The sequence below is a fragment of the Homo sapiens genome, chromosome 8 (assembly GCF_000001405.40).
Source record: "Homo sapiens chromosome 8, GRCh38.p14 Primary Assembly".
Taxonomy (NCBI): domain Eukaryota; kingdom Metazoa; phylum Chordata; class Mammalia; order Primates; family Hominidae; genus Homo; species Homo sapiens.
Genome location: NC_000008.11, coordinates 48250060 through 48276803, shown reverse-complemented (window position 1 = coordinate 48276803; position 26744 = coordinate 48250060). Strand labels below are relative to the sequence as shown.

The window sequence follows — 26744 nt, the reverse complement described above, 5'->3', positions numbered from 1 at the left end:
GCATCACCCCGACCCTGTTCAGAACCAGCCAAGTACACTCACACACACAGCTTAGGCACCAGGTACACCTCACAATCCAGCTTAGGCTCCATGCACACCCCACAACCCAGCTTAGGCGCCAGGCACGCCCCACAACCCAGCTTAGGCTCCAGGTATACCCCACAACCTTCCTTAGGCACGAGGTACACCCCACAACCCAGCTTAGGCACCAGGTACACCCCAAAACCCAGCTTAGGCTCCACATATACCCCACAACCCAGCTTAGGTGCCAGGTACACCACACAACCCAGCTTAGGTGCATTCCCTGTATGCACTTCTCCCGGGGGAGAGCTGCTGCCCACAGCCCCTCTGGCCTCTAACTCAGTCTCTGGGCCTCACAGAGCAGGACAACATAGCCATAGAGGGAGAAACCCGCGAGGGAAGGCATAAAGACCAGCTCGAAGAGGCCACTGTTGACTTTTCTTCCATCTGCCTTAGGCGGTGGTCTATCGATACATATTATTTTAAAGGGCAGTTTTCATGGTTTCTTTACATCAAATCTTGAATGTTGTATGATGGGGTTCCTGGGGCTCTCCTACAACCTATGTTTGAGGAAGCAGAGGATTAGGAACCTGGAGAACTTGGAGCCTCCACCAAATCCTCACCCGCAGCCCTGCAGAGCCCAGACAGCATGCAGCCCTGATGGTGCAGGGCACAGATGGTGCCAGGCCCAGCAGGCAAGGCCCTCAAGGGGCACAACCCCACGGTGCAGAGCTGGGGTCAGCCTCTCCTGCCCAGATGCACAGGGCACCAGGCCACATGCTTCAGCCATCTTCAGAAGCCTGCATGAAGACAGCTGCCTGCAATAGATAAGAAGGTAAACCTTTAACTACAACTAAACTTGTCTCTTGGTCTTGAGTAAAAACTCAGAAAATGTCTGTTTAACATTTTTTAAATAGAAAATGAAACATTTCCTTGGAACACTAAAAACACTTTTGTGCCCCAACCCTCCCCAACCAGTTCTTGCAAAGGAGATGCCTGGATAGTTATAATAGACTATTTGAAATAATTTATTTTATTATATATTTCTGATTACAACAGCCCCTCTACCCCAGTCCAAATTGGCCAGACCTCTCATTGGAGGACGATGCTTCCCAGAGGCAGTCATGGAAAGGTTCTCTCTACACCGATTTCTCTCCTAACAGAACTCAACAATAATAATACTAGTCTCAGCAGAGGGGATGCTCGCGGGGGCTGCTGTAATGCTGTGAGAACTGGAGTTGGGAATACAAGTGGATTTGGTGTCCAGCCTTGTCACTTCAGCAAGCCCCTAGGGCTTTGAGACTCAGTGTCCCCATTCCAAAATAGAGCTGATGATAACACATCTCCAAGGGACACCGGGAGAGCTGGGTTGAGTAAGATGTGCACACGCTTGGCCGTTGCCTACATACGGGACAGATCCATGCTGAATCCAGCCACGGCCCAGCCGCCACCACACAGGCCTGCCCTCCTGGCTGGCCAGTCTGCTCCGTGGGAAAGGCTCCTCCCTGTCTCCACACCTTTCTTTGCACACCTGTCCTGGGTGTGCACCCCCTCCTGAAGGCACCCATTAATTAGACCCCATGTATGGGGACAGGCATGGTCTAAGCCCCCTAGGTACTCCTCCGAGTCCCAGCCTAAGCACACCCCTCCTCTCCCCTATTCCACACTCACACCCTCACACACCCACTCACACACATGTGCACTCTCAGACTCATACCCACACACTCATGCACATATATTCACACACACTCCAGGACTTACCAAACTACTCTAGATGCAGTGCTTTGAATGGTGCCTGTTCACTCTCTGCTCCTGGTCTACAGCACAATAAGGACAGAAATTGGGATTCAAGGTTCAAAAACCATCACTGCAATTCATCAGAATAATCTGATGGCTGTCAAATCTGAAAATAAACTATTGAACTTGTACTTTGTATGTCTTCTTTCTTATTTCATTTTTAGTTATTTATCATAACATAAAAATATAAATCTGTTATACATTAAAAATTAGAGATTAAAAAAAGTTTCTCCTTCATACCAGAGAGTTCAAGGGGTGTGGAGCATTGTCTCTTGTCCACCTATATCACCAACTCTGGCTTACTGCACACCCCTAGTGCCAAGCCAGGGAGCTTTCCCAGGATTTGGAGAGGACTCTTTTTCTGTCCCTTGCAAGATCATTCCGCTTCAGGCTGCCCCTGAGACCCCTGCCTCCAGGAATCAGACCTCAGAGACTGTACAGGGGTGACCCAGGTCTTTTCCAGGGCTTCAGGGAGGGCGAGGGTGAAGCACAGGCCAGATTTCTCGAAAACAGGGAAAAGGAAGCCTGCAACCCCACTCCCAAGCATGTGAGCCCCCTTGCCCAGGCATCTGGAGCCTGGATTTGGCAGCTGGGAATTGATGGCCTGCACTCTGAGCTCCAGCCAGCGGAGTCGCTCGGGGAGGATTTGAAAGTGTGGGGAAAATCTGGCATGTCGGAAAAGAGACCAGCACACAGCAGGAAGGAGGTGCTGGCCTGCAGCTGATAAAGATCCAGATTGGTACAACCTCGTGTCACGGAGCAAAAAGCCGAGCATCTGTCTGGGGACGTCGGAGCGCCAAGAAGCTCTGCCCAGCACCCTTTGATGTTGCTGCTTCCTCCAGCCCCTCCACCACGCTCCCTTAGGCAGACCCCAGGGGCTCCCTGCCCTCCTCCAGGCCCGACAGGAAGTGCTGGGCTGTGATTGCAGAAGCTGGAATTGCTCACCCACTTTGTATTTACATCTGGAAGGACAGAACCCCTAATTAGAACCCTTAAGTCATGAATTGCACTTGAGGGCTGCCCAGCAAGGACAGCCCTGACTCGGGCCCATCCTGACAAGCAACTCCAAGACACTTGTACTCAGATAACGCAACCTCAGCTCAGACACCTCTGCCACAGTGTGTTCACCAGGAATGACAAGGACCCAACTGCATTTTTTTTTTCAGTCAGAAAAATACATCAGTTTGGGGAAATGAAAAGTCCACATGCTGGGGGCCTGATTAAGGAGTGGAGGAAGAGGGTTAGAAATATTGGCCTTTTTAAACTTTTTTAAACTTTTCCAAACTTAAGCAAATTCACTTAGGACATGAGTCATTCTTGGAGCATGATAGGGCCTGTGGTGAGCATCATTTTTGTTTTAAAGGAGAAATGTATTTCTTATCTTTTAAAAAACACAATTTTTGCATCTTAAGCTCATGGTTGAAACATGTTTGAGGCAAAAAATGCAACTCATTGTGGTTTTGATTTGCATTTCTCTAATGACCAGTAATGATGAGCTTTTTTTCATATGTTTGTTGGCCGCATAAATATCTTCTTTTGAGAAGTGTCTGTTCATATACTTCGCCCACTTTTTGATGTGATTGTTGGTTTTTTCTTGTAAATTTGTTTAAGTTCTTTGTAGATTCTGGATATTGGCCCTTTGTCAGGTGGATAGATTGCAAAAATTTTCTCCCATTCTGTAGGTTGCCTGTTCACTCTGATGATAGTTTCTTTTGCTGTGCAGAAGCTCTTTAGTTTAATAAGATCCCATTTGTCAATTTTGGCATTTGTTGCCATTGCTTTTGGTGTTCTAGTCATGAAGTCTTAGCCCATGCCTATGTCCTGAATGGTATTGCCTAGGTTTTCTTCTAGGGTTTTTATGGTTTTAGGTCTTACATGTAAGTCTTTAATCCATCTTGAGTTAATTTTTGTATAAGGCATAAGGAAGGGGTCCAGTTTCAGTTTTTTGCATATGCCTAGCAGTTTTCCCAGCACCATTTATTAAATAGAGAATCCTTTCCCCATTTCTTGTTTTTGTCAGGTTTATCAAAGAGCAGATGGTTGTAGATGTGTGGTGTTATTTCTGAGGCTTCTGTTCTGTTCCATTGGCCTATATATCTGTTTTGGTACCAGTACAATGCTGTTTTGGTTACTGTAGCCTTGTAGTATAGTTTGAAGTCAGGCAGCATGATGCCTCCAGCTTTGTTCTTTTTGCTTAGGATTGTCTTGGCTATACAGCCTCTTTTTTGATTCAGCTGGTTTTTTGTTGTTGTTGTTTTATTCTAAATTAGTCATTAAACCATTTCCCAGCACAACAGGAGTGTGTGTTTCCTTGGTTCCTGCTTCTTGCAGAACAGGTGCCTTAAGACAGGTGCAAGCAGGGTCAACAAGATGCATGTGTGACCTGCTCCAGGCCACCTGCAGGGCACCCAGCTGCTCCTGGGCTGCTTCACATTTCTAGTCACCTTCCTGAAGGCAACTGCCTGACTTGCTTGAGACCTTAACTTGGGTTCTGAGCATTTGCCCAACAACTTTTTGAAGAACCCAGTGATTTGGGGAGACACTAAACTCTTTTCTACTCCACTCTGCTAATGGCGTCAAAAGGTCCTCACACCGCCTGATGGGGTGGCACACCTCACAGTGGGTCCCGCTTGTACAGGAACTTGGTGCTCCACGTGGCTCATGGTGCCGTTGTTTCCAGAGAGGAAGAGGCAGTGCACCAAACTCTTGTTTTTCTTCTTCCAAGTCTAGCAGCAGATTCAGTGGGGTTGGTGACGTCCCTGAATGGTTCCACTGCAGCACCAGTTGAGAATCATGAACCCAATGTAAGGCAGTGACCTGGTCTGCAGCAGTTATTCCCAGTCCTCACACCCCTAAAACTGCTGGTTGTTAAGACCCATCCAAACCTGCTAAGTCATACCCTCTGTAGGTGGAGCCCAGCACCCTGACTTTAATGTGTCCCAGTGATTCTCTTGCACGGCCAGGCTTGAGAACCTGTGTGGCCAGCCTGGGACATAGTAGACTGGTGTTCTTGCAATCCAAAAGCTAAAGCCCACAAGGCACCCCAGGCCCAGGCCTGAATGGGCCCCTGCAGGTAAGTGCCCCATGGTGGTGACAAAGGCAGCTCCAGGGTCTGAGCACGACACCCCAGTCCCTTGCCGGCCCCATCCTAAGGCATCACTCTGCTGTCAGCACCACTCTTTGAAACATGCACAGGGTGATGGTCTCTCAGGCCATGTCTAGTGTGGATTCTTATCTCCTTACACAGCTGCAGCATGAAACGGTGCTTGTTTTGGAGCATCAGAGCTGCTGGAGCAGAGGCCCCATACAGCAGGGCCTCACTGCCCTATGGGGCCAGCTGGTCAATGACCTTGGCTGCCTGAGGTGCCAGCCTACAGACAACCACCACCTCAGAAAGCACCTGGGAGGGTCTGCAGGGAAACAGCCACTGTCCTGGCCACTCTAGCAGAGCCACCGCTTCTCCACCAGGCTGCATATCTTGCTAAGACTGAACAGGGAAAAAGGGTTGTGAAATAAAACAAAAGCATACATGTCATCTTTCTGGGAGAGCTGTGTTTCATGCTGTTTGGCACCACTCAAGAGCCAGGCTGCAGGGTTTTTTAATTGACTAATGGCTCGAGTGGAAAAGTGTGATCTGGTGCAGCCGAATCTGGGTCTGTTCAAATGGGTCCTGCTGAGCTTCCCAGGCCAAACTCTGGCAGGACCACATCCTGCTCTTGCGCTTCCTGCCTACGTCTGCCAGTGGCCAGCACCAGGCATAGGGAAGGCAGCCCAGGAGGTAACACTCAGGCCCTCTGGGCACTCCAGTGGCAGAAATGGGTAAAGACCTGAGGCAGGCGTGCCCACAGGGCACCTCTAGGGGCGTCCTCATGCCCTCTGACAGTGCACAAGGCACACAGCTCTCCTATAGCAGACACCTGCAGCACGTGAGGTTTCCACGCTCTCGAAAGTTGTTACAACATAATGGAAAAAGTTATCACATCCTCTGGATGCCAGATAAATCCGTAACATGTGGCACACTGGCTTGCTTTCCTACGTGCTGCATCCTTGAAGGAACAGGCCTCATGGACCAACACTGAACTTCATGGGACCTGCCCAGCCTGGGCCTCCACTGGGCTTCCTCTCCGACCTGTGCCCCGAGCCTACCATCAAGGCGCATCCTGCCTGCAGCTCGGGTCAGCTGCAGACCTCTCCTGACCTGTTTTCTGATCTGTAAGATGAGAGATTAAATTAGATGGCATCTCAGGTTTCTGCAAATTCCAACAGCTGGTGCCTGTAGTGCTGCATAGTGTTTCTCCACAGTCCTGACCACATAAGATACCACGTGGAGAACACCTGGCTTCTTCATTCACAAGCTTTCACTGCCCTTGGCCAACAGCAGTGCCAGAGGTAGTTCCTGCACGTGAAGTCCAGGCCTCACTGAAACTTTCCCGTGCCCCAGCTGCATGCTCCCAGCAGCGGCTGCCCAGAGCTGGAGTGCTGGACGCGGACGCTCGCCACAGCAAGGGCTGTGGTGGCCGCTCTGCCTCCACATCCTCCAGACTTGCTTCCTAACACAGGAAGCACCTTGCATAGCTTAGGAATCAATTCTGGAAGTCTATCTTCCAGTGCTACAGACATTGGCGCGTGTCCACTGTGTGTGGCCACCCACTGGATGACTTGCTCTGCCAAGGAACAGGGGACAAAACCATGTTGGGGTTTGCAGAGGGCTCCTTGGGACCATCTCTCCTGAGTATACAGATTTCAAGGACAGCATGGGCCAAAATTTATAGTGTTGGCCCCAGGTCCTACGAGATCAAAATCTTACCAAGTTATGGTCCCTCTTGAGTACACAATTACAAATATAAAATTACATACGAAATCAACATTTTGCCAGAATGAAAAAAGAAATTGCAACACATCGATTGAGCTTTGGGAATTCAGACCCGTTTTTCTGAAAACTTTTTAATTTACCAGAAGTGCTTGCATTGAAAAGCTTGCTGACAGCAACCTGGCTTCCTCTCCTCACCAGGAACACTCTGTACCTCCCCACGTCTCCCATCAAGCTTGTGCAAGGGAGGGCCCTGAAGCTTGAGAAGTATTCACTGCACAGTAAACCTACCTCTGCTCCTTGTCAGGGCTGAGAGAGGCACCTTCACCCTGCACTTCTGCTGGGCTCTTTTTGCACGACCCTGGTCCTTCCCCCAGCGCCTGCCCTGGCCTCTGTGAAATCTAACACTGTTGCACAGTGTTTACAGACTCCTAGTGATTTTTCAATCCACAAGAAAAACAGGGAACTAGAGCATGTAAATATCAGGGTCGCACAGTTCCATGTATGGCATTCAATGTCAGCCTGAAACAAACACAGAACAGAAGCCGGCCGTGAAGACGGTTCTCACGGTCCACCGCATTCCTCCGGTCTGTCCACATGTGTCCCTCCCAACCGTGACTGCGGGAGTTCCCGCCTTTTTAGCTGCCTGCCCGAGGCACCCCTGACTCACAGCCACTGCTGCCCTGGAAATGCAGAGACACTGGCTCCTACCCATTGTTTTCGCCTCCAAAAGATGTTACTATGCAATACAGCTTTAAGTTTTCAACTCTGTCATATTTTCTAAACTCTGATCTCTTCCATTTACTTTAGGGGATGTGGCATTCCCCTCTGCTGGAGTGAAAGCTAAACAATGTGGTTTGGATTTAGTGTTCTCATGCATCACCATGAAAATGTTTGTCTCAGCAATCGTGTCGTTACTGTTACTGGTAACAGCTGCTCTGTCCCCTCCATCAGTGAGCCCTGACCCGCCACTGCACAGTTTACAAGTAGAAAGGGGGCTCTGTGCCACTAAGAAGAGACCAGCAATAGGACATCCCAAGATCTGGGGTGACCTACTCTCAAGTGATCCAGGGACCCAGCCGAAGAAAAACTCATGCCAAGCCACTCACAGGGCTCACTTGCCAGTGGGGCCAAAGATTGGAATGAATCCTGAAGGAGTAGGATAGGGCAGTGCCTCACCGGGACGCTGCAGGGACTCTGCAAGCACGAGGGAAGCGGTGTGCTTTCTTCGCACAAGGACCACGTCCTCAGCAGGGAAGAATTGCCTGCCCGAGAGCAGCTCATGATGCACCCATGGTTTCTGGTCACAGGCAGGAGAACAACCTGCCCAGTGCATCACTTGTTCTCACGGAAACAGATTCCAGCTGCCTGCCCCCTCAGTGCTCTCCACCCTGCTCCTATCAGCATTGGCTACAGCCAAAGCCTTGCACAGCATGCCAGGCCCTGTCCCAGCACCTTCCCAGGGGACCCCAGCGTGTCACCCACCACCCAAGATGCTGGGCCGGCCCGGGTCACGGAGACCTGGCCCACCTCTCTTTGCTTTGCTTTTTTTTTAAAGAAAAAAATAGAAACTATTGTATGTGTCAATTAACAAGAGGCTGGTTACCTAAATTATGGTTCACATGTACAGTGGACTTCTACCAGCCATTCAAAATAAGGATGCAGTTAGTTTTGTTGGCATGAATACGAGCCTATGACATATTGTTGCATGAAGACTTAGGTAACAGGACCACATATAAACCATCATCCTACTTATGTAAAATGATAAATACTTATCTAGCTATATGTGCATATTTACATATACAAAGGAAGATTCTAGAGTGGTGTAAAACCAACAAATTAACAGAATCACTACTTCTAAATGCTGGGATCTTGTCTAACTTTCATTTCTTTATTTGTTCTTCTTTCTAGGTAGATAGGCATAATAATGTATATAATGCATATAACAATGTATAAAATTTATAATGAGCAGCTACCATTTTTTAAACCAGCAATGTTTTTTCAAAAGGAATGAAGCAGGTACCGACAAAGGCAGTAGGGGAATGAGGAGAGGCCAGAAGGGCTCAAAGGCGGTGCCCGGGGCAGGTCCAGCTTGGTGAGAAAAACACCCAGAAAGCATGGGGCCAGGCCACGCAGAGAGGGCCCGCCTCCTGCCAGGCACTGCTCCTCCGGGCAAATGGCAAGGAGCAAAGAAATGCTATTCTTTTTGCCACTTTCTTTCTCAACAAATAAAAGAAAATGTTCAAGAACATTTTCTAGAACAAATGTTCTAGATATCAAGAAATGTTTGGATTCTTGATCCTAAAGGATTAAACAGAGATAAAGGGCAAGGAGCAGTTCAGTAAAAATGGGCGTCAACTGTCATGAATGTGGGGCATGAACTCAAGAGCCCAAAGACCTGGATTTGAAACCTGGCTGTTATGAGACCTGGGAATGGCAAAAACACTGGAACTCGCAGACCTCGGTCTTCACATCCATCTAATAGACGTGTTCATGCAGCCTTGCCTGGCAAATTATGAGATCAGACAAGATCATCATCTAAAATGATATTAACGATCATCTAAATGTTTGTGTTAAAAGAAAAACCCATTATATAGCTATGTTTTGTATTTTTCAGAGCCTCAAAAATAATTCACCAGTCTCATATAGCCATGCCCACCTCCATCTCTCTGTAACCCCGGGCCACCCTCCCGTCTGTCTGTGCGCACCTTCACACCCATGCACTGAGGGTGCATGGTGCTCTTCCTTCCTTCCTCCCTAGGCAGAGGCTTCCCGTGTGGCCCACCAAGGTCCAGCGATGGTTCCTGTCTCCAGCCCTTAACAGAATAGCCTCCCTGGCTTATTCAATAAGCACTTGGATAGCACTTCCTAAATAAACTTCCTCATTTAACATGAGAATGTTAAATGTTAATTCTGCATCCCACTGGAATCCATCACAATATCTTCTCCCTTTCTTCCTTACTAACAGAAACAATTTGTGCAGCTGAGACAGCCATGACCTGGCCAATGAGATGAAGTAGAATCTATTTGGTAGTGCCTCCAAGTCATTGTTTTCTTAATAAAAAGGAAGCCTCAGCATGTGGACACCTTTGGCCCTTTGCTCTTGCTCTTTCTTCCTGCCTGGAATGCGGAAATGATGTCTAGCTATGGAGCAGGCATCTTTGAGATCAGAGGGACAAAAGCTATCAACTTAGGAGGGTAGAGCAGGAAGCCGGAAGAAGCAAAGGACCCTGAGGCATCTGCACCAGCCCCAGGCTGCCTCCCTCTGGCTGTTCTGAGAAAGGAAAAAAAAATAAGAGATGCTATTCCAACAGGATGGATTGAATTTCTATTCATCACTTCAGTCAAATACAATTCCAACTGATTGAGATAACTTGCCCTGTTTTGACACCTCCTTAGTCAGACCCTGAAACCTACTTCAGTTCTTGAGGATCAATCATAAGTGTCAAGTGCTCAAGTTAAAATTTCACAATCTGTATTCACGGTTGGTCTCCAGGGATTCTATAATCATGGTAGGAGAACAGCAATCTCTGCAACGTGGTCATTCTGCTTGGGAATAGTCTTCATTCATTCCTAGGGGTCTCCAATAAGCCCAGGTACCAGCTCAGCTTGCTTGGAAAGGCTGCCCCTAAACACCCAGGGTGAGTCCCATGTGAAAACCAAGTTACTTAACTCACCCAGTCCTTACTGCGCACCCATCACCTTGCCAGAAAGATCACATGCTTTGGTGAGATCAACATTAGACTTTGAAGTGCACGGCCTGGATATCCATGAGTGGGTGTCTGAAGTAGTCTGTGCCGAGCCGGCTCTGAACCCAGGGACCATGTCACCTGCCAACCAAGTCCAGTCCCTTAGTTCCAAGCTGAAGTTTAGTCATAAGGTGCCCTCGTGGCCACATGTGTTTGTGGGAACATGTACCTAGGAAAGCTCTGCACACTTGTGGACACACAGTTGTACATGTATGTGCACACAAGTGTGTGTTATCCATATTTCCCCTCACAAAAGCAGACTAAAGAGGCAAACAACAAAAGAAAACTCATGATTGTAGAGTAAAAGCTGCTCAGAAGGCGCTGAGTTCAAATGTGTGGCTCATGGCTCCCTTGACTGCTCCAGGCCCTGGGCTTGTGATCTGTCACCTCCCATGACCATAATATGCTGGTATCAGCCCAGCGTAGTGTCCCCCCGAAACCAGGCTGGAGTGGCCAGGAAGGAGATCAGAAAGGCCAGAGGATGAATGCCGAGTCTCATCAGGCCCACTCTGTGTACGTCAAGAATATGCAGAAGGGGCTGGGGATCTACAGAGTGGACAGCGATCCTGCAGTGCTAACAGAATCACCTGCTGCAGCCGCACCCCCATGACCATGTCTCACTGCTTCTCACCAGGGGGAGTCCAGACAACAGGCGAGTGACCACGAGCTTCCTAAATAAGAGGACTGGGTGCCTCGGTCTGGCTCCCACCATCCTGCCTTCTGAAGCACAAGTGGCCAGAGCTGTGCAATGGAGGCCAGGGACAAAAACAAGACCAGTAAGCCTGGAAGCAGCCATGAGTTTCCAGCCATGGGGAAGCCAGGCAGGACACAGGGGTGGCTGGTGTATTCCATGCCATCCGCCGGAGCTGGTGGCACAGCCTGCCCGGCACCCTGCAGTGGCTCCAGCTCTCCTCCTCCTGTTGTCTGTGAGGGCTGGCATGCTCCTGATGGCTCCCTCCCAGCCTGTCTGGGGGCTGGGTCAGGACACATGCACCAGCTGGGGACCTGCAGCCAAGTGCCTCCCTGTGGCCTCTCCAGGGCCAGCTGAGGCTTCCTCGGACTGTGGGTATCTTGGCTTCCATGGCAGTGTTCCTTTTTTTTTTTTTTTTTTTTAAGATGGAGTCTCCCTCTCTTGCCCAGGCTGAAGTGCAGTGATGCGATCTCGGCTCACTGCAGCCTCTTCCTCCCAGGTCCAAGCGATTATCCTGCCTCGGTCTCCTGAGTACCTGGGATTACAGGTGCGCGCCATCAGGCCCAGCTAATTTTTTTCTATTTTTAGTAGAGACGGGGTTTTGCCATGTTGGCCAGACTGATCTCAAACTCTCAACCTCAAGTGATCCACTTGCCTCAGCCTCTCAAAGTACTGGGATTACAGGCGTAAGCCACCGTGCCTGGCCCCATGGCAGTGTTCTGAGAGAAGATGATGCTGTCCGCCTTAAAGGCTGGGTTCAGAGCTTGCCCAGTTCCCCTTCTGTCCATGCTAGGAGTCAAAGGAGTCACACAGGTCAGCCCAGATTCCAAGGGGTGGAGAAGGGGCCCTTTGGGAAGAGAAAGAGCACCAGGGGGAAAGCACTGAAGGTGCCGTCCTGAGACAAGCTGCTGCACATGGAGACCCAGGTTTCAGCAGCCCGAGCCACCAGGTGGCCTTTAGATGACTCGGCTGCATGACTCTGATGTTCAGAGCTCATCTTGCCAGCAACACTTGAAGACTCAAATTGGTGAATCACTGTTTTTCTCTAATTCCAAACAGTCGCTGATGTTTTCTAAACCATAGATAGTTGAAGCAAACCATATTAATTATGGTGCTTTTGCAGATGTGAGCAACGTAACATTTAAAGAAATCACAAGCTGCTGGCTCAGCAGTGTTTTAGGCTCTGGAACAAGCTACTTCATTGTCACTTTCCTTGCTAGCAGCTGATCCCTAAGTCAGATTCTCTGTGCTGACTTCCACATCAGGCAAAATACCAGTTTTATTTATGCAGCTTGTTAATCAATAAAACATCAGCAGTCAATTGATAAGTATTCCCTCCTATGTTCTCATTTAATCATCATAGCATCCTTTAATGGCAGGTCACTATCTCTGTTTTACAGATGATGAAGCAGAAGCTCATGGCAGTAGAGACACTTGCCCAAAGTTCTACGGCTCCTCCGTGTGAGAGCCAGGGTTCCGGTCCACATGTCTGACCCCCATGTGGGCGGCTCCCAGTGCTTGGGGTAGGACAGCCCTGTTTGTGTCCACAGGGGGACTAGGAAAGCCAAGGTAGACAGAGCCTACCCCTGGATGTCGGTGTATCACCGTCGCTGGCTCATGGCCATAGCTGCAACCTCCACCAACCTCCACAGCCTTCTCTGGGCCTCTGTCCACCTGACCTGGGAGTGGGAGACTGAAGCCATGTTCTTTGGCAGCAAAACACAGGGTTTGGTTGAAGATCGGTGCGCAGTGTGCATCACGTAGGTCATGAGGCTTTTATGCCAGGTAATTTTCAAAAAGACAGCTTCATTTTTAGACAAACTCGTTGAACCTTCTGGGGCCTCTACCAGAGGCAACATGCAAGCCCAAACTAATACCAAAGGTGAGAAATGTTTTCCCTGTGGGTGGGCTCTCCAACAATTTAAGGCATTTTCATCAGTGTCAACAATTACACATAGAAGTCATGTAACATACATCCCAAACATGCTCTGTACTCAAGGGTGCTCCGTACTCAAGGGTATGTTCACCACCCTTGCACACTGCGTCGCTGCAGCTCCCCCACCCGCCCCCACCAGGGAGAGGCCTCCTGCTGACGAAAGTGCTTGACAATCCCTCGCACAGGGATCAGCATGGGCTCCAGGACTCAGCCCCAGCAGCACGGTGGGAATCCGTGCACTGGGTGGCGGGCACCCACATACGAAGCTCCTGGGGCACAGGACACCCCAGGTTTAACCCCAGAGACACACAGCAGGGAGCCAAAGGCCATTCAGCAACATGAAAAAGTGCAGACTCTCCAAGTTGGCATGTGATGAGTTTATAAAGTGTCAGTAAATTACTTCAAGCTGAAAACCAATCAGTTTTCTTCATAAATTTTTTAAAACATTGACTAACAAAATTGCTTACCAACCTCTGTGTATGTGGGTATGCAGTATGTTCTCTCACAAACTTAGGCTAACAAGATACAAGATAAATTCCACCAGGTGTGTGGCTCGGCCTCCCTATGTGGGTGTCACAAGAGCTGGTAGTCAGCCCTCCTGCACTCCCCTCTTCCCAGCCACCTTCCTGCGGATTGGCCTGGGTTGCACATTAGCTTTCATAGGGGAAAAGCCAAACACAAAATGATTCTCAAACACAAAAATCTCCCAGGAAGGTTGAAAGATTACCTATTTGAGTGATGGGTACACTAAAACAGCGCAGACCTCACCACTCCGAAATATGGCCACACAACAAAACTACGCTTGTACCCCTTCCATCTATAAAAATAAAAAATCAATAAATCTCCCATGTTCTACTGCTCTCAACCCCTTCACCTTCAAGGAATAGGGAAGTTATTGGGTTTTTTCATATTATTTTATGGGAATCTGTAATTTCACTTATGTATATCTTTAAAAACATTTAAATTTCTTATTCATTTTAAACAAATCACATTTAATCATTTGAAATTCATTAGGTAAAACTCCTGGAGGACAGCAGTCATGCTGAATCATCTTTGTCACCTCCACCAGTGGGTTTCAAACTAGATTCTTAACACACGCCTCTGAAGTCTAAAGCAATGCTTCTGAGGCAAGGAAGAAGCAGTGACCAAAGATGGAAAGTGAGGAAGGCTTGGAGACTGAGTCAAAAGGCCTCACTTATGGAAAGGAAAGCCACTTAGCCCCTGGAAAGTTGTGCACAAATCGCACAGCCAATCCTCATTTCCAGCTCCATGCTCTCTCCCCCGTGCTACAATGTTGGGCTGACACCGCGTGATAAATGCTGTTGCTTCTTCAACACAAGTTCAAAGCAAGCCCCGTGTCCATGGCAAGATTGACTACTTCTGCTTCAGATGTGTCAACTAAAAATAGAGTACTCAGGTCCAATTGTTTACTTTCCATTTTGCTAAAAATTCTTATCATGGAGTCAGAAAAAAATATCACATAAGACACCGTAGGAGGCAAAGCCCATGTGCACATAACCTGCGGGCAACTGCACAGCTGCTAATTGAAAGCCCAGAATGAGATGAAAATCAGAAACCTACAAAACTTTCAAAAAAAAAACTGCAACTCAGCGTTAACATTTAACTCTTACTGCAGCAACTTTTGAGAGTGTTTTACCAGAAGATGTTTGTGTCAGCCTCTGAGCCCAAGCTAAGCCATCATATCCCCTGTGACCTGCATGTACACATCCAGATGGCTGGTTCCTGCCTTAACTGATGACATTCCACCACAAAAGAAGTGAAAATGGCGTGTTCCTGCCTTAACTGATGACATTGTCTTGTGAAATTCCTTCTCCTGGCTCATCCTGGCTCAAAAGCTCCCCCACTGAGTACCTTGTGACCCCCACTCTGCCCACCAGAGAACAACTCCCCTTTGACTGTAATTTTCCTTTATCTACCCAAATCCTATAAAACGGCCCCACCCTTATCTCCCTTCACTGACTCTCTTTTCGGACTCAGCCTGCCTGTGCCCAGGCAATTAAAAGCTTTTATTGCTCACACAAAGCCTGTTTGGTGATCTCTTCACACGGACATGCATGAAAGTTTGTGTCCACAGCTGCTATTTGTCCACCTGACTGCAAGGCTCTGTGACAGCCGTTCCTCCCCTGGCACTGTCCATTCCCATGGGTAGAAGAACTGGCCTCTGCTCTGCATTCAGGGTGCCTGGCTCTCTGTGAAGGCCAAGTGCTTAAACAGACCCTGAATGACAAAAGCGAGGTTGTTACAGGTCACATTTTTCAAATTCTAAAAGCCTCAGGCCCATATGAGTAGGGGAGCTGGGACTGGATACCCCACTGTTCTCCAATGCCATCCCACACTGGGGCTTCTGGGGTGCACATTTCTGTTCTGCCCCTCAAATGAGCCCTCTCCAGGGAAGCTTCCTTGGCTTTCTTTTCCCCCATCTGCTGGCTTGCTGTGAGCCTGTCCCACACCCCCTGACTGGAATGGAACTCCATGGGGACAGAGCTTCCTGGGTTTCCCTCACTGCTGTCCCCAGAGCCTGAGCAATCTCTGGCATGGTGCTCAACAGATATTTGTTGAATGAATGAATGAAGCAAGGTCTTCTATGAAAATAATAAGAATCGTGGCACTTTTGCCAAGGTCTCCAGGCATGTTTAGATATATATATGAGCAAATCAGACAAATTATTTTATGATTACAATAACTAAAATGTCAGTGTGCCCACCTGTGCCAGGCTCAGCTCCCAGCGCTGCACATGTGATTTCACTGAATTGCCACAGCAATACTGTGAGATGGGCACCACTGTTAATTTCCCTCTACAAATGAAAAACCGCCCAGGGAAACCCAGCCAATGATCTCAAACCTAGGCAGTGCTGCCAGACCCCGCAGTACAGGAAACATGGGCTATGGAGTGGCCTTGTGCAGTAGGTTCTCGGCGACGTTGCTAGGGGGTTGGGGACCTTTCCTGTTGCGCTTTTTCTGAAGCTCCCAGCGCAAGGCGCTGCCGCAGGTGTTGTGGGCTTGGTAGGTGTGGGTGCTGCCCCTTGGGTGCAGCTCGGACGCCCAGTACTGGGCCAGGCCTACCGTATGCCTGCAGGCGGTGGAGCGCCCGCTCCCATTCCAGACGCCCTTCCCCTAGGCCGGAATGCCCTGGGGAAGGAAGGTGGGTGCGGGTGCTCTCAGACCCTCGGAGAGGAGACAGGCCGCTCCCACCCAGAAGCGGGGGCGGCACAGTCCCTGCCCGGCCCAGCCCCCTGCCCACCGCGCCTGCCTTAGCTGCGCGCGTCCACGTTTGCCCGTTTCCCTGCCCGAAAGCCGCCAACCAACAAGAGTAGGTAAGAGCTCGCGGCACAAAACGGATAAAAGTGGCAATGGTTTAGCTGAAGTAGGAATGGAAAAAAAGAGCACCACACCCCTGCCCTTCTCTCTACCTCCCACGGCAGCACCCCTCGCCTCTTCCAAGGACGGGCTGAACACAGCGGTCCCCACCACCCAAGGAACACCACACACAGGGGGCGCTCGGGAACGGTCTGATTCCCAGGTCACAGTCCTATTTACCGTTGGCTGGGCTCTGGGGGGTGGCTTCACACACCTCTGGATGTGGGTCCAGAACTGGAGAGTTCACGCCAATTGGTGCCTGGGCTCCTGCGCAGTCCGCCCAGCTCAGCTACTCCGTAAGTACTTCAGTTTAGTTTCACTAAAAAAGCGTTTCCAACGCATAAAAAGGCCCCTCCACCCAGTTTAAGAAAGAAAATTTTTACACATACGGCAGAAGTTCATGCGTGCCTCCTCCAAGATCCTCTCCTGAGGTCCCCTCTCCTTCTTCAGGTGTTGACCGTTCCCAAGCACGTTCTTTCACTTCGTAGATGATGTGTAGACAGACAGACTGTTGGGTGGATGCAGAGATGACAGACAGATTAGATAGATGATAGATAGATAGATAGATAGATAGATAGATAGATAGATGATAGATATGACAGATGATAGAAAGGTAGAAAGAGTTGGTATATAGAATATGAATATATATATGACCCAAAGACATTTATATCACTGTTTAATATGGTTGAAACTTATATAAATGACACTGTGCTGTAAATACCCTGCACCTTTCTATTTATGTGTCCAACATGTTTTTGAAAAATTTTCCATGTCATTGTGTACTCTTATTTAATTCATTTTCTCTACTCTATTTCATTCAATGTTCTGAATATATCACGATTTATTTAAAAATAAACAAAATATATATCTTTTACAGTCTTTTTGTATCTTAAAAATATTACCCTACCCAGAAGTCATAAAGCTATTTTCCCATATCTTCTTCTAAAATTTTTAAATGAGTTTTTGAGACTGGTGTGGAGTAGGAATTTAAATTTTTCGTTTTTATAACCAATTGTTCCAGTACCACTCAATTTATAATGCCCCTATTTCATATATCAAGTTGTCTTATTTTTATACATCTCTTTCTAGACTCGCTAGTCTTAGCCATCAGTCTGGTTTTTGATATCTATCTATAGTGTCCTAATTATTAAAGCCCATTACAAATCTTAATATCTGATAGATGAGTCCCTCCATTTTGCTCTATTTTTTAAAAAATTATCTTGGCTATTGTATTAGTAAGCTATTACTTCCTAACAAACCATTTCAAAACTTAAACAGTTAAAGTCTTAGGTTATTTATTTTCTTCTCCAAGCCTGAGGTCAGCTGTTTGGGCTGAGCTCAGCTGGATGGTTCTGATCTCACCTGAGCTGGCTCACACATCTGCAGCTAGCTGGCCCTGGGGCAAAGGGGAGAATTAGGCCACCTGTCTTTCATCACCCAGCTGGCTTAGCCACAGCAAAGGCAAGTAGCAAGAGACTGAACAAAACACACAAAGCCTCTTGAGCCACTCTCTACTGGCCAAGGCATGTCATGAGGCCAGCCCAGACCCCAAGGATAGGGAAGGGGCTTCCTTGGTGCAGGGAGCGGCCAGTTCACATTCTCAAGGGCACAGAGGCAGGGAGCGTGAAGACTGAGCTCATGTGGGAAACCAACCTTTACTACTCCATGTAAATTTTAGAAGCAGACTTTTAAGATCACAAAAATAACCTCTGTTGGAATTTATTGCCAGATGCTTAAATATTTTTGTAATTTTTTGCAAAGTGCCTTTTAAAAATTCATTCTTAAGTGTTTATAACTGAGGTATGGGAGTATAATGGAGTACTGTACATTGATCTGACCTTCATTAACCTTGCTTAGCTATTATTACTTCTAATAATTTATCCACAGATTTTCTTGGACTTCTTATAGGACTTTTCTTGTAGGAAAATACTTCCATTTAATGGCACTCTTGGGAGGATGCCTTTAAAATTGCATGCTCACATCAGAGCTGCTACAAAATGACTGGTTTTATTGGGACCTTTTGTTTGCTTAAAGACACTTAGTAACCATCTTCAGCTCACGTGATGATTCTGCCTCCAGGAGTATGAGGAGGCAGTGGTCAGTATGAAAGACTGCACTGCAGGCCATTTTCAATTTGGGAGAAAAATAGGTACAGATAATTCAGGAAAACCATGACCATAAAATACTTTACATTTGGCATAAAACTTAATCCCACACATGTAGGGAAAGGGCCTCTTCTTGGTGTAAGGAGTGGTAGCTCACAGCTCTGCAGATCTTGGAAGTGGGCAAGATTTGGCTTGAGTCCCCACCTGCCTCACTTTCCCCCAGCATGTTCTCTCCCCACGATTTCTTCTTCAGGCAGCTGCCCTTGCCACGCATCTCCACGCCCAACCCTGCACCTGCTCCAGGCTGCCCCAATCTTCAGTGCTCTCCCTCACAATCCACCATTGATGAAAATGACCCAGGTCTCTGCACCTCTCCCCTGAGGTACTTAGTGAACTTTAGTGATGTACATCACACTGATATAGTCTGACAATGCTCCTTCAAAGATGTTGCACTCATGATGGTTGAAACAGATTGTAAGTTTATCCCCTCCAAATCTCATGCTGACATTTGATCCCCAATATTGGAGGTGGGCCTAATGGGAGGTGTTTGGGTCTTGGGGGTAGATCCCTCATGAATGGTTTGGTACCATCCCATCCCACGGTAATGAGTAAGGTCTCACTCTATGAGTTCACAGGAGAGCTGCTTGCTTAAAAGAGCCTGGCACTTCCTCCCCTCTCTCCCATTTGACACACCTGTTCCCGTCCCCCTTGCACCATGATTGAAAGCTTCCATGGCTGAGCACAGTGGCTCACATCTGTAATCCCAGCACTTTGGGAGGCCGAGGTGGGTAGATCACGAGGTCAGGAGATTGAGACCATCCCAGCTAACAAGGTGAAACCTGTCTCTACTATAGAAAAATTAGCCGGGCGTGGTGGCAGGTGCTTGTAATCCCAGCTACTTGGAGGCTGAGGTAGGAGAAGTGCTTGAACCTGGGAGGCAGAGGTTGCAGTGAGCCAAGATCGCACCACTGCACTCCAGCCTGGGTGACAGAGCAAGACTCTATCTCAAAAAAAAAAAAAGAAAGCTTCCTGAGTTCCCTTGCTAGGAGCAGATGCCAGCACCATGTTTCTTGTACAGGCTGCAGAATTGTAAGCCAAATAAACTTATTTTCTTTGTAAATTATTCAACCTCAGATATTCCTTTATAGCAACACAAAATGGACTAACACAAATGGCTTCCTCACTCCCTAGAATATTGCTGTGCTTAGGAGTGAGTTAAGACAGGTGTCAGGGAGGAGGATTTGCATTTTTAAATCTCCCCAGGTTGTTCTATTGCAGTAACTCTCTCTATAGAACCTGGTTTGGGAATTATGGATGTAGATTGGTTTCCCAAAGTAAGTTCTGCAGAACACTTGTACCACAATATTTTGTAAAAATAAAGTTTCTTAATCAAATGAGTTTGGAGTGATAAATAGTATATGCCCTTCCTTTTTTTTTTTTTTTTTTAGATGGAGTTTTGCTCCTGTTGCCCAGGCTAGAGTGCAATGGTGTGATCTCAGATCAGCTCACCACAACCTCCATCTCCGTTCAAGTGATTCTCCTGCCTCAGCCTCCCGAGTAGCTGGGATTACAGACATGTGCCACCATGCCCAGTTAATTTTGTATTTTTAGTAGAGACAGGGTTTCTCCATGTTGGTCAGGCTGGTCTTGAACTCCTGACCTCAGGTGATCCACCCGCCTCAGCTTCCCAAAGTTATGCAATTACAGGCATGAGCCACCGTGCCTTGCTGTCTATGCCCTTCTTGAAGTTCACAGCAATTTACATACTGCCAAGACCAGCTTGGTCGGGGAGACCCTAACCCAGTGGCGCTAGAGGAATTAAAGACACACACACAGAAATATAGAGGTGTGAAGTGGGAAATCAGGAGTCTCACAGCCTTCAGAGCTGAGAGCTCCGAACAGAGATTTACCCACATATTTATTAACAGCAAACCAGTCATTAGCATTGTTTCTATAAATATTAAATTAACTAAAAGTATCCCTTATGGGAAATGAAGGATGGGCTGAATTAAAGGAATAAGTTGGGCTAGTTAACTACAGCAGGAGCATGTCCTTAAGGCACAGATCACTCATGCTATTGTTTGTGGCTTAAGAATGCCTTTAAGCGGTTTTTCGCCCTGGGCAGGCCAGGTGTTCGTTGCCCTTATTCCCCTAAACCCACAACCTTCCAGCGTGCGCATTAGGGCCATTATGAACATGTTACAGTGCTGCAGAGATTTTGTTTATGGCCAGTTTTGGGGCCAGCTTATGGCCAGATTTTGGGGGGCTTACTCCCAACAACATACGAAGGCTCTGACATAGCCTTCAGTGAGGAAACCTGCTTAACCTTCTACCTGGAGCACTTTTTCCCTCTAATTAACACCTGGTGATTTCTCACTGTCTCGAGTCCCACAGGAACACCCATGGAGAAAAGCATCCCTTGGTACATAGATTCTGCAATTTGCAAGACCCCTAGGTCACCTTAGACTAAGCTCTTTGACATTATTCTTGACAGTTGACCAACTGGCCTCTACTGGAACGGGGACCTGTCTGCCTACCCTTGTATTTCTCAAAAGTTCTAATTTTTAGAAAGTTCTTTGTGTTGAAGTAAAATTAAATCAACTCATGTAACTTCCATCTGTTAATCTTACAACTTCTTGCTGGACAAACACAGAATAAATCTGTAATCATTCCCACATCTCAGGTTTTTGTATGTGCAAAGACAACAGTCATATCATTCACTCATTCATTCATTTATTCCAATACATCCACTTTAAGCAGGCTCAGTGTTAAAGGATGGGTTTACAGCAGAGAGCTAGATGAGTGCCTTTTCATGGGCCAGTGTAAGATAAACAAGTGAATGGGCCTGTGAGATAAATCCTATCAATAGGATGACATCGAGTTAAGGAGGTGTATAGAAGTGTCACCTAATCCTCTCTTACAGTGTCACAGAAGCATTCCTGGAGGAGAAGATAGCTAGGCTGATGCATGGTAAGAGTTAGTCAAAGAGGAGGGGATCAATTGCACAGAGGAAGCAGAGTTTCCAAACATCCAGAGATGAGATAGAGCATAATAAATCTTCTTCCCTCCTCATGTAACATTCCCAGTTCCTTCAGCCATCCCCCAAATGCCATGATTTCAGTATCCCTCACCATCTTGATCCAAATTCTCAGGACATTATCTCTAGTCTGATATTGTCCTTCATAAAACAGACAACCATAATGGTACAGCTGGGCTTGTCCAAAATGGACCTCAGTGGAGCACAGCCTGGCACGAACATGGCTAACCAGGACTTGTTTAGCCTGTTTTATTTAGGGATTTTTTAGTGTTTAACACAAGACATGTGTTAGAGAGCAAGAAGCAGAACAAGGCTCCATTCAGTTTTCTAATTCCCACACCTAAGGCAGCCAAAGTATTCATGATCAAATCCTTGAGAAACTTAGCACTACCTACTGATTTTGCTTTATGAATTACAGTGTTCAAAATAAACTACATGTGAAATAAAAATATACATTCTATACAGGTATTTCCTATGCCTTCTATTGCAATTCTATAAACACTTTTTAAAAATTTTTTTAAAAAGAAGACCTGGCGTGAAAACATAATGAAACTAACATTTTAATATGGCACAGTCTATGCATTTAACTCTCCTAATTTCAGGGCATAGGAGCTGTTTAAGTGAAGAAAAAAAATCCATAGATCATTGCACATTAGAAATACCCATTAAGAAGCGCCCCCCTCCCCCCAGTTTGTTCCCACTTCCCCAGGAGCACTTGCTAACTCCCATGATGACTGATAACCCCACTGTCAAGCAGAGAAAAATAAAAAAGTAGAAGAAACAGCGAGAAGAGCCCTATAGGCACTCCTTGTCCCCAGGGAAGCCATTTCTGATTTTATCTCAGAGGGGTCCTTAGGGACAGCAGTCAGTGGATTTGGGGAAGGGCCACAGGGAGAAGGAGACCTCCAGCTGAACTTTGTAGTAATTTTGATCAAGGGCAAATTTTCCTGGGCAGAATCTGAGGGAGTAAACAGGAAATGCAGATACGAGCAAAAAAGCCTTGGCAGGCAGGGAGGGGTAAGGCCTGAAAGCCCTATTTGCTTTCTCAGCAGGGAGGCTGAGGCTTGCCTCGGGCAAGATCTCAGCCCTGCATGGAAGCCTGGATGTGAATTTGGCTCTGTTGGCAATTGTTGTGGAAGCAATGCGGGCTGGAGTGAGATTGGCCTTGCTGGCTGCCTGGGAACTGGGTGAGGCCTGTCACTGCCAGCTTTCCCCCACTTCCCTGGCGACCTGTAAGAAGCAACAGGGGTAACCATAATCCCCCTTGGAACATAACTCCATTGGCCTGAGAACCACTCCCCCATCCCCCACAATGACTGCAGTAAGCCCTCCCCAAGAAGACTCTGAGCCCAGACACACCTAAGGCTGCACCCACCTGGTCGTCTTTCTCTACCTCCCCTGGTAGCCAAAGACAAAAGGCATAAACTCATGAGAGCTCTATGGCCCTGCCCATCACCTGAGAAACCTGAATACTTATTCAGATGACCTTAGGGCAAGCTTGTATCCCCTATACTACCATAGCTGATGCTCTCTTGAAAGTGCCACCTCCTTGCTGGACCAACCCACTCAAGCCATTGCAGTAACTCATAACAACCAATCCTGCTTCAAGGAAGGAAAAAACAACAGCTAATTCTACTGCCTGTAACATCCTGGCTAACCAGAGGTCCTGAGTCTGTCCATATGACAACTTCATTGCTAGCATAACCAGCATTTGAGAAAACCAGCACACTAAACAAAACTACAAGCAAGGACTCACACAGAGTCCACCTCACTCGCCTGCTACCTCCACTGGAGCAAGTGCTGGTACCCGTGGCTGAGAGACCTGAAGATGGATCACATCACAGGACTCTTTGCAGGCACCCCCCAGTACCAGCCTGGAGCCCAGTAGCTTTACTGCATGGCTAGACCCAGAAGAGCAAAAACAATCACTGTAGTTTGGCTCTCAGGAAGCCCTACCCTTAGGGTAAGGGGGAGAACACCACATCAAGGGAGTACCCTTTGGGACAAAAGAATCTGAACAGTAGCCCTTGAGTTCCAGAGCTTCCCTCTGACATAGTCTACCCAAATGAGAAGGAAGCAAAAAAGGAATTCTGGTAATATGACAAAACAAGGTTCTACAACACCACAAAAAGATTGCCCTAGCTCACCAGCAATGGGTCCAAACCAAAATGAAATCTCTGAATTGCCAGAAAAAGAATTCAGAAGGCCAATTATTAAGCTAATCAAGGAGGCACCAGAGAAAGGTGAAAAACAAATAAATCAAACAAAAATGCAGGATATGGATGAAAAAATCTCCAGGGAAATAGATATCATAAATAAAAAACAATCACAACTTCTGGAAATGAAAGACACACTTATAGAAATGCAAAATACACCGGAAAGTTTGAACAATTGAACAAGTAGAAGAAAGAATTTCAGAGCTCAATGACAAGGCTTTCAAATTAACCAAATTTAGACAAAGACAAAGAAAAAGCATCAAAAAAATGAACAAAGCCTCCGAGAAGTTTAGGAGTATGTTAAACAACCGGTTCTAAGAGTAATTGGTGCTCCTGAGGAAGAAGAGAAATCTAAAAGTTTGGAAAATTTATGTGAGGGAATAATAAAGGAAAACTTTGCTGACCTTACTAGAGATCTAGGCATCCAAATACAAGAAGCTCAAAGAACACCCAGGGAATTCCTCACAGAAAGATAATCACCTAGGCACATAGTCATCAGGTTATCTAAAATCAAGCAAAGAAAGCTGTGAGGCAAAAGCATCAAGTAACGTATAAAGGAAAACCTATCAGATTAACAGCAAATTTCTCAGCAGAAACCCTACAAGCTAGAAAGGATTGGGGTCCTACCTTTAGCCTACTTAAGCAAAACAATTATCATCCAAGAACTTTGTATCCAGTAAAACTAAACTTCATAAATGAAGGAAAGATAAAGTTTTTTTCAGACAAACAAATGCTGAGAGAACTCACCACTACAAAACCAGCATTACAAGAACGGCTAAAAGTGCTAAATCTTGAAACAAAACCTTGAAATACACAAATAGAACCTCCTTAAAATGTAAATCTCATGGGGCCTATAAAACAATAACACAATGAAAAAAACAAGGTATTCAGGTAGCAACTAGCACAATTAATAGAATAGTACCTCAGATCTCAATGCTAATGTTCAATGTAAATGGTCTAAATGCTCCATTTAAAAGATACAGAATGGCAGAATGAATAACAATTCACCCAAATATCTGCTGTCTTCAAGAGACTCACCCAAAGCATAAGGACTCATGTAAACTTAAGGTAAAGGGGTGGAAAAAATATTCCATGCAAATGAAAACCAAAAGCAAGAAGAAGTAGCTATTCTTATATCAGACAAAACAGACTTTAAAAAAACAAGTGTTAAAAAAGACAAAGAGGAATATTAATATAATGATAAAAGTACTACTCCAACAGGAAAATATCACAATCTTAAATATACATGCACCTAACACTGGAGCTCCCAAATTTATAAAACAATTACTACTAGACATCAGAAATGAGATAGACAGCAACACAGTAATAGTGAGGGGGTTAAATACTCCACTGACAGCACTAGACAGGTCATGAAGACAGAAAGTCAAAAAAGACACAGGCCAGGCACAGTGGCCCATGCCTGTAATCCCACCACTTTGGGAGGCCAAAGTGGGTGGATCACTTGAGGTCAGGAATTTGAGACCAGTCTGGTCAACATGGTGAAACCCTGCCTCTACTAAAAACACAAAAATTAGTTGGGTGTGATGGCACATGCCTGTAATCCTAACTATTTGGGAGGCTGAAGCAGGAGAACTGCTTGAACCCAGGAGGCAGAGGCTGCAGTGAGCCAAGAGTGTGATATTGCACTCCAGTCTGGGTGACACAATGAGACCTTGTCTCAAAAAAAAAGAAAAGAAAAGAAAGAAAGAAACAATGGACTTAAACTATACCTCAGAACAAATATACTTAACAGATATTTACAGAACATTCTGCCCAATAACTGCAGAATATACACTCTATTCATCAGCACATGGAACATTCTCCTAGATAGACCATATGATAGGCCACAGAACAAGTGTCAATAAATTTAAGAAAATCAAAATTATATCAAGTACTCTCTCAGACCACAGTGAAATAAAACTGGAAATCAACTCCAAAATAAACCATCAAAACTATGCAAATATATGGAAATTAAATAATCTGCTCCTGAATGATCGTTGAGTCAACAATGAAATTGCAATGGAAATTTAAAAGTTCTTTGAACTGAATGATAATAGTGACACAACCTATCAAAACCTCTGGGATACAGCAAAAGCTGAGCTAAGAAGAAAGTTCATAGCATTAAATACCTATATCAAAAAATCTGAAAGAGCACAATCTAAGGCCATACCTCAAGGAGCTACAGAAACAAGAACAAACCAAACCCAAACCCAGCAGAAGAATAGAAATAAATATTGGAACAGAACTAAATGAAATTGAAACAAACAGACAAAAATAAATAATATACTGAAACAATCAGGTGGTTATTTGAAAAGGTAAACAAAAGTGACAGAACATTAGTGAGATTAACCAAGAATAGAAGAGAGAAGATCCAAATAAGCTCAATTGAAATGAAATGGGAAATATTACAACTGATACCACAGAAATACAAAAGATCATTCAAGGCTACTATGAACACCTTTACATCCACAAACTAGAAAACCTAGAGAACAGGAATACATATTTGGAAATATACAACCATCTTAGATTAAACCAGGATGAAATAGTGTTAAGAACAAGCCCCCCAAAACCTGGCCATAAACTGGCCCCAAAACTGGCCATAAATAAAATCTCTGCAGCACTGTGACATGTTCATGATGGCCATAATGCCCATGCTGGAAGGTTGTGGGTTTACAGGAATGAGGGCAAGGAACACCTGGCCCGCCCAGGGCAGAAAACTGCTTAAAGCCATTCTTAAGCCACAAACAATAGCATGAGCAATCTGTGCCTTAAGGACATGCTCCTGCTGCAGTTAACTAGCCCAACCTATTCCTTTATTTCAGCCCATCCCTTCATTTCCCATAAGGGATAATTTAGTTAATTTAATATTTATAGAAACAATGCTAATGACTGGTTTGCTGTTAATAAATATGTGGGTAAATCTCTGTTTGGGGCTCTCAGCTCTGAAGGCTGTGAGACCCCTGATTTCCCACTTCACACCTCTATATTTCTGTGTGTGTGTCTT

The 26744-nt window shown here is 46.3% G+C and overlaps 5 annotated features.

Annotated features, from left to right (window-relative positions):
• Positions 2552-3053: an enhancer, noted in NCBI's record as "H3K4me1 hESC enhancer chr8:49186311-49186812 (GRCh37/hg19 assembly coordinates)". NCBI's record gives its function as "activates a minimal SCP1, AML or CMV promoter by ChIP-STARR-seq in naive H9 embryonic stem cells {active_cell/tissue: H9 hESC(naive)}" and the evidence as "EXISTENCE:reporter gene assay evidence [ECO:0000049][PMID:30033119]".
• Positions 5420-6291: an enhancer, noted in NCBI's record as "H3K27ac-H3K4me1 hESC enhancer chr8:49183073-49183944 (GRCh37/hg19 assembly coordinates)". NCBI's record gives its function as "activates a minimal SCP1, AML or CMV promoter by ChIP-STARR-seq in naive H9 embryonic stem cells {active_cell/tissue: H9 hESC(naive)}" and the evidence as "EXISTENCE:reporter gene assay evidence [ECO:0000049][PMID:30033119]".
• Positions 14544-15544: an enhancer, noted in NCBI's record as "OCT4-NANOG hESC enhancer chr8:49173820-49174820 (GRCh37/hg19 assembly coordinates)". NCBI's record gives its function as "activates a minimal SCP1, AML or CMV promoter by ChIP-STARR-seq in naive H9 embryonic stem cells {active_cell/tissue: H9 hESC(naive)}" and the evidence as "EXISTENCE:reporter gene assay evidence [ECO:0000049][PMID:30033119]".
• Positions 15560-16121: an enhancer, noted in NCBI's record as "NANOG-H3K27ac-H3K4me1 hESC enhancer chr8:49173243-49173804 (GRCh37/hg19 assembly coordinates)". NCBI's record gives its function as "activates a minimal SCP1, AML or CMV promoter by ChIP-STARR-seq in primed H9 embryonic stem cells {active_cell/tissue: H9 hESC(primed)}" and the evidence as "EXISTENCE:reporter gene assay evidence [ECO:0000049][PMID:30033119]".
• Positions 22154-22999: an enhancer, noted in NCBI's record as "NANOG-H3K27ac hESC enhancer chr8:49166365-49167210 (GRCh37/hg19 assembly coordinates)". NCBI's record gives its function as "activates a minimal SCP1, AML or CMV promoter by ChIP-STARR-seq in naive and primed H9 embryonic stem cells {active_cell/tissue: H9 hESC(naive and primed)}" and the evidence as "EXISTENCE:reporter gene assay evidence [ECO:0000049][PMID:30033119]".